At 40.8% G+C, this 14,077-nt stretch overlaps 1 protein-coding gene across 1 annotated transcript in view; it reads left to right on the plus strand.

Moving 5' to 3' along the window:
* The window catches only part of RAB31 (RAB31, member RAS oncogene family), a 154,251-nt gene that overhangs the window by 81,164 nt on the left and 59,010 nt on the right, over nucleotides 1–14,077 (plus strand). The window contains exon 3 of the mRNA NM_006868.4: nucleotides 2,690–2,771. Within this exon, the coding sequence (NP_006859.2) occupies nucleotides 2,690–2,771 (82 nt within the window). The remainder of the gene's footprint in view (nucleotides 1–2,689; nucleotides 2,772–14,077) is intronic.

A 14,077-nucleotide genomic window follows, 5' to 3' on the forward strand; every position in this document is an offset into this window, starting at 1 on the left:
ATACATGTATGTACATATCACTCTGTATCCCATAAGATGCATAATTATTGTGTACCGGCTAAAAATAAAAGGAAACAAAGAACTGAATGAATAATCCCATTTTAAAAGTCATATAAAAATAATTGGGAAGGACATATACCAATTTATTAGCAGTGACTATGGCTGGGTGGTGAAATATGATTGGTTTTTATTTTCTTTCTGGTTTTTTGAATTTTTTTTATGAAATACATATGTTGCTTTTAAAATGGGAAAAGTAATAAAGACATTAACATTTTTGGAATATATTAGGTCTCCCCGGTAGTCTGGATATACATTTTAAACACTTTTAAAGAAATAAAGGAATAGATGTGGTTTTGATACTACTGGATTTGTCACTTAGAATACTTAGAATTTTCATTTATTGCAATTGTAGGTTGGTAATTAGAACTCTCTAACTATTATTAGCCTTTGGTTTTTGTGGGGATAGTGTGGGAATTGCAGTAGACTTTTCTACTTGGGACTTCGGTAGTTGGCCTCTTATTCTTAGAAGATTTAGAGGCTGAGGAAATATTACTATGATGAATGCTAGTTGACCAGGCTGGACTATATGAAAGTAAGGTGAAGAACCCCTGACTCTTTACCCCGAAAACCCCAGGGTCCATCTCCTAATAAGAACATAATGAGGACACCATGATCATACCTACAAAATTAATTTGAATCAGTGATAATATCTTGCATATAGTGTGAATTTAAAATTTTAAAGTTGTTCTTAAAATATCTTTTTGTGGGGGTAGGGGGTACAGGGTCTCGCTCTGTCACCTAGACTGCAGTGCACTGGGGCAATCTTGGCGCTTCACTACCAGCCTCAGACTCCTGGGTTCAAGCTGTCCTTCTGCCTCAGTCTTCTGAGCTGCCAGAACTACAGGCTGTGCCATAATGCTCAGCTGATTTAAAAAAAAAAATTTTTTTTTTTGTAAAGAAGGAGTCTTGCTCTGTTGCCCAAGCTGGTCTCGAAACCCTGGCCTCAAGCCATCCTCCTGCTTCAGCTTCCCAAAGGGCTAGGATTACAGAAAAAAGAGCCACCACACCTGACCAAATATATTTTAAAGCTGTTTTCCCCCTAATCTGGGATCCAGCCAAGGTTCATATATTGCATTTTGTTGTTTTATCTCTTTCCTCTCAATCTAGATTCTAGAATAATCTCCCTGTATTTTTCTGGTTTGCTTCTCATGACATTGACTTATTTGAAGCATTCAGGCCAGCTTGTCTTACAGAATGTTTCACATTCTACATTTGCCTCATTGTTTTCTTACAATTAAATTCAGACTAAACATTTGTGGCCAGAATGCTATATAGGTGATGTATCTACTTCTTATTCCATCACTTCAGGAGGCTCTCATACCAGGTTGTCCCACTACTGGGGATGCTTGCTATTTTTTAATGAATAGAAAACTTTCTGTCATAAAAGTCAAGGCTATTGAACATTCCTGGTATTTTTATACTGTTCATGAGCACAAAGAAAATGCTTTTTAAAAGGAAATATGCAAAAAAGAAAATAGTAAGTGTTTAATGATCTACTGAGGCTTTAAAATCCTTTCTTTTTGGACTTAGAAGGGAGGAAAAAAAATCCTTCCTTTTTTATAGAGAAAACATAAGTATGTGTTAAGCTGCCAATCATCGTCCTTGCATTTATGCAAGCAGGTTGGGACTTAGATGTAGTATTCTATTAGTTGCTACTAGTGTTGGTTTCATATTAGCATAGTAAATATGTAAGACAACTTTTTCTTTATGCCATTGTAAGACCAAAAACATTACATGCCAACATACCAGCTGCTATTTTCACTCTTAATTATTGTAATAAGTTTTTAAAATCCAAGGTTGTATTCTTTCCTGAGATCTGGGGGTATTTTAATAATTGAAGCTAACTGGTTTTAGAAACACAGTCTTTTTTTTTTTTTTTTTTTTTTTTTTTGAGACGGAGTCTTGCTCTGTCACTCAGGCTAGAGTGCAGTGGTGCGATTTTGGCTCACTGCAGCCTCTGCCTCCCGGGTTCAAGTGATTCTCCTGCCGCAGCCTCCCAAGTAGCTGGGACTACAGGCACCCGCCACCATGCCCGGCTAATTTTTGTTTTATTTTTATTTTATTTTATTATCATATACATATTTTTTGAGATGAAGTCTCATACTGTCACCTGGGCTGGAGTACCATGGTGCCATCTTGGCTCACTGCAACCTCTGCCTCCTGGTTTCAAGCAATTCTCCTGCCTTAGCCTCCCAAGTAGCTGGGACCGCAGGTGCCTGCCACCACGCCGCCACCAGGCCTGGCTAATTTTTTGTATTTTTAGTAGAGACAGGGTTTCACCATATTGGCCAGGCTGGTCTTGAACTCCTGACCTTGTAATCTGCTCACCTTGGCCTCCCAAAGTGCCGGGATTACGGCATGAACCACCGCGCCTGGCCAGAAACAGTCTTTTGAATGCCTCCTTTGTTTTGTTTTGTTTTGTTTCAAAACCCCCAGTTGAACTAACAGAAAATGAGAAATATTTTATTTTGGGTGTCATGAGTCTTCTAGCCCTTTTCTCGTCTTAGTGGTTCCCAAGGACCAGGGCTTTTTGGGGTCCTGCTGAGGTGTAGCATTTAACTTGTTTGATTTGTGAATCTTTGTGAAGAAACAATGCAGTAATGTGGAGATGCTGACTCTCTTTTTTCAGGGCATCTTTTATGACCAAAACTGTGCCTTGTGGAAATGAACTTCACAAGTTCCTCATCTGGGACACTGCTGGTCAGGAACGGGTGAGTATATGCTGTTTTTTGGTGAAAACAAGATCCAGTGAAAATAAGATCAGTTTCTGAAGGTTTGTTTGCATTAGACAAGACTCTTGGTTGCAGGTGACAGAAACCTAGCTTGAAATGATGTAAGCAAAAAGAAAATGTACTCATTAGCTATGTGAAAAGTCTAAGTGGGTACCTAGGGTGAGGCGGGGCTGAGTTCAGGTCCCCAAATGTGTTGTGAGAGGAGCCCATCTCTCTTATTTCTGTTTCTTTCCATTTAGTGCAGTTGTGGTTGCACTCTCGATTTGGTTCATTTTTAGGCAGACTCACCCTCCCTCCTTACCTCAAGGGTGGTAACCATGGCCCCAAAAGCATCTCTACACCTACCTTCAGCCTTTTTAGCAACTACTGGCTGAGCATGCACCTCTTCTGCAAGTGGGAACATACATCTTAGTGCCTCTGAGTTCTCACTGGCCTGCCTTAGGCCCCATGCCCACTCCTGAACTTCAGGTGGTACCTTGTTCTTGGGGGTTTGGTGCCCCTACTGGTGGGATCTGGCAGTACACTGACCCCTAGAGGCAAGGGCTGGTGTCAGCCCCACCTGAACCATGTTGGTTCAGGAAGTCAGGTAGGCTTAGCGCCCCAAGGAAAATCTGAGGTCTCTTACTGGAAAAGTGGGTAAATGGATGCTGGGTTATCAAAACAGTGGATGACTTCTCTTTTACTCCTAATTCTCTGTATTTGCTGAAAATACTTATGGAGAAGACTATATATTTTAGAAGGTCATGCCTTTAGATTCAAAAAAGGGAAATGACGAATACTAGCACAGTGTCTATTGCTGGATACTTGCATAATAACTAGAGCGTATATTATAAAAGTTGCTGTGTCTTGCTGTGTCTCCCAGGCTGGAGTGCAGTGGCACAATTATGGCTCACTGCACCCTTGACCTCCTGGGCTCAAGAGACCCTCCTGCCTCAGCTTCCTGAGTAGCTGGGACTACAGGCACAAGCCACTGCACCTGGCTGATTTTTTTTTTTTCTTTTGTAGAGCCTGGGGTCTCGCTATGTTGCCCAAGCTGGTCTTGAACTCCTGGCCTCAAGTAATCCTCCCACCTTGGCCTCCCGAAGTGCTGGGATTGCAGGTGTCAGTCATAATATAAAAGTTGAGGCCGGACGCGGTGGCTCACGCCTGTAATCCCAACACTTTGGGAGGCCGAGGCGGGCGGATCATGAGGTCAGGAAATTGAGACCATCCTGGCTAACACAGTGAAACCCTGTCTCTACTAAAAATACAAAAAATTAGCCAGGTGTGGTGGTGGGCATCTGTAGTCCCAGCTACTCGGGAGGCTGAGGCAGGAGAATGGCGTGAACCCAGGAGGCGGAGGTTGCAGTGAGCCGAGATCATGCCACTGCACTGCAGCCTGGGCGACAGAGTGAGACTCCAGCTCAAAAAAAAAAAAAGTTGAAACGGATAGCCAGATAGCCAAGCAGAGATAACCAATACCTTGTCTTAGCCAAGAGCTGTTAGCTTGATTGAAATTATCAGAGTTGATGACTATGGAGTAAAATTGGTAGAATTTTCCCTTGTCTGATCCAAACTCAAATGTCACCTTCTCTACCTCCTTGTTTAAAATGTCACCACCTCATTTTCTTGCCCTACTCCACTCACTTCCTGCTTCATTTTTCTCCACAGTTATTATCATCTTCCAATATATTATTTAATTCACTTTATTTTGAGACAGGGTCTTGCTCTGTCACCCAGGCTGGAGTGCAGTGGTGCAATCACAGCTCACCTCAGCCTCCCGAGTAGCAGGGACCACAGGTGCTCACCACCACTCTGGGGTAATTTTTAAATTTTTTTTGTAGAGACGAGGTCTTGCTATGTTGCCCAGGCTGGTCTTGAACTCCTGGGCTCAAGCAGTCCTCCTGCCTTGGCCTTCCAAAGTGCTGGAATTACAGGTGTGAGCTACCATTTGGGGCCTTAATTCAATTATTGATCTGTTTATTGTCTTTCTAAAAGGAAGAATCCAGGATTCAGGATAATCTATAATTTTCATTATCATCTCCTAACTAATCAAGTGGTAATTTATATAATTTTCATTTTACCTAAATTCCCTTTTAAAACAAAAGTTCCCATATTTGTAGATTAAAACATTTTAAAAACACTGCTGAAAGAAATCATAGACATAGACACAAACAAATGGAAACACATCCTATGCTCATGGATGGGTAGAATCAATATTGTGAAAATGACCATACTGCCAAAAGCAATCTACAAATTCAATGCAATTCCCATCAAAATAACACCATCATTTCATTCAGGCTGGGCACCGTGGCTCATGCCTGCAATCCCAGCACTTTGGGAGGCTGAGATGAGTGGATCATGAGGTCAGGAGTTCGAGACCAGCCTGGCCAATATGGTAAAACCTTGTCTCTACTAAAAATACAAAAATTAGTCAGGCGTGGTGGCACATACCTGTAGTCCCAACTACTTGGGAGGCTGAGGCAGAAGAATCACTTGAACCCGGGAGGCGGAGGTTGCAGTGAGCTGAGATCATGCTACTGCACTCCAGCCTGGGTGACAGAGAGAGAGTCTGTCTCAAAAAAACAAAAAACAAAAAAACAAAAAACAAAAAAAGCAACTACCATCATTCTTCACAGAACTAGAAAAAAACAATCCTAAAATTCATATGGAACCAAAAAAGAGCCTCCATAGCCAAAGCAAGACTAAGCAAAAAGAACAAATCTGGAGGCATCACATTACCCGACCTCAAACTATACTATAAGGGCATAGTCATCAAAACAGCATGGTACTGGTATAAAAATAGGCATGTAGACCAATGGAACAGAATAAAGAACCCACAAATAAGCCAAATACTTACAGTCAACTGATCTTTGACAAAACAAACAAAAACATAAAGTGGGAAATGGACATCCTATTCAACAAATGGTGCTGGGATAATTGGCAATCCACATGTAGGAGAATGAAACTGGATTCTCATCTCTCACCCTATACAAAAATCAATGCAAGATGGATCAAAGACTTAAATCTAAGACCTGAAGCCATAAAATTCTAGAAGATAACATTGGAGAAGCCCTTCAAGACATTGACTTAGGCAAAGGAATCATGACCAAAAACCCAAAAGCAAATGCAACAAAGAAAAAGATAAATAGACTTAATTAAACTAAAAAGCTTCTGCACAGCAAAAGAAACAATCTGCAGAGTAAACAGACAATCCACAGAGTGGGAGAAAATCTTCACAATCCATACATCTGACAAAGGACTAATATCCAGATCTACATGGAACTCAACAAAATCAGCAAGAACAAAACAAACAATCCCATCAAAATGTGGTATAAGGACATGAATAGACACTTCTCAGAAGAATTTATACAAATGGCCAATGATCATGAAAAAATGCTCAACATCACTAATTATCAGGGAAATGAAAATCAAAACCACAATATGATACGGCCTTACTCTTGCAAGAACGACTATAATCAAAAAATCAAAATATAATAGATGTTGGCGTGGATGTGGTGAAAAGGGAACAGTTTTACACTCTTGATGGGATTGTAAACTAGTATAACCACTGTGGAAAACAGTATGGAGATTCCTTAAAGAACTAAAAGTAGATCTACCATTTGATTCAGCAACCCCACTCCTGCGTATCAACCCAGAGGAAGTCATTACACAGAAAAGATACTTGCACACGCATGTTTATTGCAGCACAATTTGCAGTTGTAAAAATATGGAACCAGCCCAAATGCCCATGAATCAATGAGTGGATAAAGAAAATGTGGTATATATATACACCATACAATACTACTGAATACTACTCAGCCATAAAAAGGAACTAAATAATGACATTCCAGCAAACTGGATGCAATTGGAGACCATTATTCTAAATGAAGTAACATACTAAACATCGTATGTTATCATTCATAAGTGGGAGCTAAGCTATGAGGACACAGTGGCATAAGAATGATACAATGGACTTCGGTGACTTGCAGGAAAGGGTGGGAGTGGGGGTGAGCAATAAAAACTACACACTGGGTACAGTGTACACTGCTTGGGTGATGGGTGCACCAAAATCTCAGAAATGACCACTAGAGAATTTACTCTTGTAAGCAAACACCACCCATTCCCCAAAAACCTACTGAAATTTTAAAAATAATAATAAAATAAAGCTAAAAGAAGCATGCTAAAATATAGCTAAAATATGCACCTAATCTTAATCTAAAATTGTAGATGTGGAATTGCTAGTTCAGAGTCTCTGATACATACTGTAAAATCCACCTGTTATTTGGACCCAGTGTTTCACTGTTATGTACTTTCACTTTTACCCAAATTAAGTATTATATTAAAATGAGAAAGAAAAAATAATCCTTTAAAAATATATATTTGCTTTCTAATGACTTTAAACTTCTTTCGTATTTTTTAGCTATTTCATTTCTGATCTTAATAATTGAATGATTATAGCTTTACCCACTTTTTTCTTGAGTAATTTGTAAGAATCTCTTAACATTAAATTATACATAATGTCTCCATTTGTTATTTATATTTTAATTTCTATTTTAGGTTTCTAATGGTCAAACTTGTTTTTTAGGGTTAAATCAATAATCCTGTCTTTTATGAATTCTGCTTTAGAATACATGCTTTAAAAGACCTTCAGAATGCTAAAGTAAATATTAATTAAAGTTATATTAAATATTTAAATAAAACACATTTTCTTAAAAATACATTTTAAACAGTTTTAAGAAATAAATTAGGATGAATATTCTGGCCTACAAATGCTAACCTCATTAGAAAGTCTTCTATTTTTCTGCTAAATTGAGAACACAGACTTCTGTGCACGGGAAGCAGCTGCCTGGGGCACCTCTTTAACTCCATCAGCTGTGCCTGCCTAGTCCTCAAATGAGGTGACCCATTCAAGGAAAAATGTCTACTTAGAGACCTCACTTCTTGATATACGTGTGTATTACTTGTAGTTGATCTGCTGGTTTTTTGTTTGTATTGTTATGTAAACTTAAACAGAGAGAGTTTCTTGATTCTCTTTTTACCTCTGGCTATGAAATAGTTGCTTTTGCAGCTGCCTTTAATGAACACAATAAGTCAATTTTGCGAATCGCTGGCTTAATGTCAGCGATGCTTCTGCTTCTCCTGCTGGCGGACGTTCCCTGATGACTTGCTGTGTTCCATGTACTGTTCTGAGTGCCTGTGTGTACTGATGCATTCAGCCCTCCTCGCAAAAGCACTTTGAGGTTGAAACTGTCGTTATTCCCATTTGCAGGTGAGGTCACTGAGACAGAGACATTAAGTAACTTGCACAATGTCGCAGAGCTAATAAGGTGTAAAGCTGAAAATTGAATCCAGCAGTCTGGGTCCTGAGCTTTGTAGTTTTATTTTGATTGAAAAATCACACAAAAAACCATACGGTTGAAAGTAAAACTATCCAAACTCCCACTACCCAGATATTTCCACTATGGATATTAGATGATCGTTCTTCAGATATCTCTACGTGATTGATAATTTTATATCAATGGGATTGTGATTCTTTATAACCTGCTGTTTTCATTTGATATTACAGTGTCACAAAGGAAAGATTTCTGTGTGATCAAAACAGAATGTTTAACACTTACCTCTAACAGGCTATTCAAGGAATAGTCTTTTGATGAAACTTGAAATCTGCGAAAATGACTATTGTAGTTTGTAGTTTGTTCCACTTACCATCGCAAAGAAAAATACCAGTGGGAAGTTTTCAGATGACCATATTTCTAATTATTGTGATTGCTTTTCCTAAAATTTGACTTTTAGAGGTTGTAGACATCTGACTCCATTGATACATCCATAATTTTAAAGAAATCACTAGCATTATACATGCAAGGCATGACTCCACAGTAGGGATATTCTTTCTTTATACTTCGAGGAAGACGGATTTAGTTTGGGATAACGATTTCAAAGTGAACATTTTTAGAGTCTAGATTTGTGGAGAGTGTGTGACTGATATCCATGTGGCTATGTGGTCACCTGATCTCCCCAGCCCTCGACGGCCTGATTTCATTATCCTTGGGCTGTCCTTGTCTGGTGTCCCCTGGTGGAGTCTTGCATCTCTCCAGTAATGGCAATTTTTCAATTGTTTTGGCAGCTTGTTGCTGGCTTTAATTGTGCTTGTAATGATGTTGCCTAATGTTTGAGCTAAAAATAAATTCCCTGCTGTTGCTTGTGCCTATTGCTATTTGTTCTGTCTCATTAATTATTGGAGTCCCGTGAATTTTATTACCCCTCTTTATCATCATAGAAATGTTATTGTTCTTTTAGTTTTCATAATTTTAAACAAACAATCACTTTGGGTTTATGATTTGACAATATAAAGACAGATTTCTTTTTTTCTTTCTTATTTTATTTTATTTTATCTTTTTAAGACAAGGTCACACTCTGTCAGCCAGGCTGGAGTGCAGTGATGCAATCATAGCTCACTGCAACCTCAAACTCCCAGGCCTGGTCAATCCTCCTGCTCCAGCCTCCTGAGTAGCTGAGACTACCAGTGTATGCCACCATGCGCAGCTAATTTAAAAAAAAAAAAAAAATTGGGCCAGACACAGTTGCTCACGCCTGTAATCCCAGCACTTTGGGAGGCCGAGGCGGGCAGATCACGAGGTCAGGAGTACGAGACCAGCCTGGCCAACATGGTGAAACCCCGTTTCTACTAAAAATAGAAAAAGTAGCTGGGCGTGGTGGCACTTGTAGTCCCAGTTACTTGGGAGGCTGAAGTGAGAGAATCGCTTGAACCCAGAAGGCGAATGTTGCAGTGAGCTGAGATTGCACCACTGTACCCCAATCTGGGTGAAAGAGCAAGACTCCACCTCAAAAAAAAAATTTGTTAGAGATGAGGTCTTGCTATGTTGTGCAGGCTGGGCTTGAACTCCTGGCCTCAAGCAATCCATTTCACTTGGCTTCCCAAAGTGTTGGGATTATAGGCGTGAGCCACCAAGCCTGGCCAAAGACATGGATTTCTGTGTCCTTAAAGGAAGAAAGCTCCGCTCAGTGCTTTGCTTGTGTTCATGATTCAATATTTATTTATTTGTGGAATGATTGCACCAAGTTCTGCCTAACATACACAGCATTCTGGTTAATGTCCTACTTACTGCCCAGTAATAATTCTATCTTATATTTGTGGTACAAATTTGTACTCTTGGAAAATTATTTTTTCTTCTCCTGAGCACAGGAATCTCAAAGGATCCTCCTCCTCTTTATATAAGAGAGTATTCATTCTATTTATTTTTATTTATTTATTTTAGAGACAGGGTCTCACTCTGTCACCCAGGCTGGAGTGCCATGGCATGATCATAGCTCATTGTAGTCTCAAATTCCTGGGCTCAAGCGATTCTCCCGCCTCAGCCTCCAGAGTAGCTGGGACTACAGGTGCGCCACCGTGCCCAGCCTATTCATTCTTGATACTGTCTGAATGTTGCTTTTGCTTTTTTAATCCAACTGTGTGTCATGGGCATCCTATCTCATTCATTCAGTGGTGATATGGTAATTCATAGGGTGCATCTATTAACAAAAATGTTTTTTGAAAAATTTAACCATTTCCCAGTTGAATCCCATTTGTTGGAAGCTTGACATTAGTAAGATTTGTGCATGGTGTGTTGTACCACCAAGGACTATGAAGAGGGGAAGAGTGCCATTGGGCTCCCTCTGTTGTACCATCAGTGTGGCCTTTGGGAAGTTTTTATCCTGTCCTCTTGGAATGGGTTATTGTGCTGGTTTCTGCTTCACACCAAGCTGTGAACAGTACAGAGTAGCAGGTCAGCAGGCACCTTTGCAAGGATGTACACAGGAGCCATGCCTAGAGCGGTCCATAGCCGACAGAAGGTAATTTACCTGCCCAGCTCCCTGCGGGAGCCTAGAGTCAACACATAGAGTGGCTTTTAGCGAGAGGAGCTGAAAAGCAACATTGTCATAAATAAGGCATGCGTTCATGAAGAGGTGAAGAGCTGGGGATAATACTTTCATCTGCCAGCGGCCCCTCCTGGGTTCTCTTGCTCTATATACCATGGAGGACCAACTTCTTCCAACCTGAAACTTTCTTCAGCCATCTCCCTTCCATTTTTTTCCACCGTGCTATACTTTTACACAGTTCATGACGTTCCAACACAAATTTCCCATTAAAAAACCTGAAGCTGTAGAGCTAATGTTTGACTTTCCATGGCTCTGAAGATATATTTATTCCTTCCTCTTGGCTCAGACGGCCCCTCCCCATGTTGGAAAATGGTTTCTAAAAAGAGCCCAGTGAAGCGGCAGTGGTGGAATTCTCTGTACTTTTTCCTTGGCAGGGAGTTCTTTCCCTGACCCCCTTCTTACCTGTTCTAGACCCACTCAAGCTTCTGTCTCTGAGCTTTCTGTCCTCATTCTCTGTTGGCCTTGGAAGCAGATGAGCCAACTTTCATCTTTTCTGGATAACCCACTCTGGAGCTTTAGCAGTTAGAAATCACATTCACTGAAAATTGCTTTTGTCCACATTTGTTTCTGTGTTGACTATCAGTATGTGGAGTATGACCAGCCCCCCTTTTTTTTTATTTAAAAACAGCTTTACTGAGATCCGATTCACGTACCATACAATTTATCCATCTAAAGTACGCACCTTGGTGGGTTCTGATGTGTTCCGAATTGTTCAACCATCAGCACAATCCATTTTAGAGCATTTTTATCAGTCCAGAAAGAAACGCTTATGAATTAGCAGTCACTCCCAGTTCCCCCTCTACATCCCCCAGCCCTGGGATACTTTCTGTCTCTAGATTTGCCTAATCTGGACATTTCACACAAATGGAATCATACAACCTGTGGTTCTTTGTGACTGGATCCTTTCACTTAGGATAAGATTATCAAGGTTCACCTTGTGGTGTGGGTCATAAAAGTATTTCCTTTTTATGGCAGAATAATATTCCATTGTCTGGATAGACCACATTTTGTTTAGCCACTCATCAGTTGATGGATATCCACTTTCCCCCAACTTTTTGGCTATTATGAATAGCTGTGAACATTCATGTACAATTCTTTGTGTAGATTTTTTTTTTTTTTTTGAGATGGAGTCTTCTCTGTCGCCTAGGCTGGAGTACAGTGGCATGATCTTGGCTCACTGCATCCTCTGCCTCCTGCTTTCAAGCGATTCTCCTGCCTCAACCTCCCCAGTAGCTGGGATTACAGCCAGCTGCCACCATGCCCGGCTGATTTTTTGTATTTTTAGTAGAGACAGGGTTTTACCATGTTGGCCAGATGTCTCAAACTCCTGACCTCAGGTGATCCACCGGCCTCGGCCTCCCAAAGTGTTGGGATTACAGGTGTAAGCCACCGTGCCCGGCCAGATGCATGTTTTTAAAAATCTCTTAGGTATGTATCTAGAAGTGAAATTGTTGGGTCATATGGTAACTCTATGACTAGCATTTAGAGGAACTGCCAAACTGTTTTCCAAAGTGGAAAACTAGCAGTGTGTAAGGCTTTAGTTTCTCCATATACTCACCAACACTTGTCTTTGCCTAACCTAAGGTCGTAAAGGTTTACTCCTGCATTTTCTTCTGAGAGTTTTATAGTCTTAGCTCTCACTTTTATCCCTGTGATGCATTTGGAGTTAATTTCTGTCCATGTTGTAAAGACAGGATCCAGCTTCATTCCTTGCAGGCAGCTGTCCAGTTGTCCCAACACAGTTTATTGAAAAGACTATTCTTTGCCCGATTGTCTTGGCATCTTTACTGAAAATCACCTGACCATAAATTTGAGGCTCTGATTCTGGACTCTGAGTTCTATTCCTTTGATATACATTTTTTCTCCTTATGCCAATACCACATTGTCTTGATTACTGTAGCTTTGTAGTAAGCTTTCAAATTGGAAAATGTGAGTTCTCCAACTTCGTTCTTTTTCAAGATTGTTTTAGCTATTCTGTGTATGTTGCATTTCCAAATGAATTTTAGGATCAGCTTGTAAATATTTATCAAAAGAATCCAACTGGGATTTTGGTCAGGATTATGTTGACTTTGTAGATGACTTTGGGGTTACCTGCTCCTTAAACCTGTAAATTATCAATGATAAGCAAGTTGCCAGCTGTCTTTCAACTCTTTGGAATTTACATGTAGGTTAGAAATGCTGACCTCAGAGAAAAAATTTTGAATAAAGAGTTAGGTCAGGCACAGTGAATCATACCTTTAATCCCAGTACTTTGGGAGGCCAAGGTGGAAGGATAGCTTGAGCCCAGGAGTTCAAGATAAGCCTGGGCAACATAGTGAGACCCTGTCTCTACAAAAAATAAGAAACTACCTGGGTGTGGTGGTGCATGCCTATAAGAGGGATCCACACTGACATCCTCCAGGAGCCCACGGTTTAATGCATGCAGTCAGGAGATCTGGCCACCCCAGGCTGTTCAGCCATACCGCTTGTTCACCTCCTTCAGATTAATTTTGCAAGTGACTGCCAGTCTGCATGGTTTGAAAGATTAGGTGTTTGGAGATCATGTGCCCAGAGGGCTGGGATGCACTGGCACAAAGCTGTGCGGAATCGCTGGGTCTGAATGGGTCCTTGAGAAAGCAAAGGAACTGGAGGCAGCAGATAGCTGAGGTCAAATTCAGGCTTTACAGACATCCAAAGAAACTCTTTTGCTGTCTTTCCTGCTTTCTTCAGGGCCCCAACATCTATGGTCAAAAAAGTGGTTCACTATTCATAGGCCATTAGTAAAGTCAGAGGAAATTTTGACCTTTGGAAGTTCTTGAAGAATGGAGCCTCTTACAAGCTCAGAATGAGCAGCTCCTTTCTTTCTCCTGCAGGCATTGGAAATACAGTCCCAGCTGGCAACACCAGCCAGCAGCACAGCCCGGAATCCTGCTCCTGACCTGCACCATCCCCACCAGCCCACGATAGAACGTTTTTGTAGGCATTCCTCCTCATGGGAGAGGATAGAGTACATGCGAGTTTTTGCTCTCCTCCCACCCTTTCACAAGAGCACTGTGCTTTCTTTTCTTCTCTTTTTCCTTTCTTTTTTTTTTTTTTAGGCAGGGTCTTGCTGTGTCACCCAGGCTGGAATGCAGTGGTGCAATCATAGCTCACTGCAGCCTTGACCTCCTGGACTCAAGCAATCCTCCTGCCTTAACCTCCCGAGTAGCTGGGACTATAGGCACCAGCCACTATGCCTGGCTAATATTTTTTGTTTGTTTTTTGTTCAGAGACAAGGTCTCACTATACTGTCCAGGCTGGGATGACTGTGCTTTCTACCAATGCAAACTGAGATCCCGGCAAGGGAAATATTCCCTTCCTCCATGCCCCTAGTAACTCTCTTG

This window comes from Homo sapiens, chromosome 18, assembly GCF_000001405.40.
Source record: "Homo sapiens chromosome 18, GRCh38.p14 Primary Assembly".
NCBI classification, from domain to species: domain Eukaryota; kingdom Metazoa; phylum Chordata; class Mammalia; order Primates; family Hominidae; genus Homo; species Homo sapiens.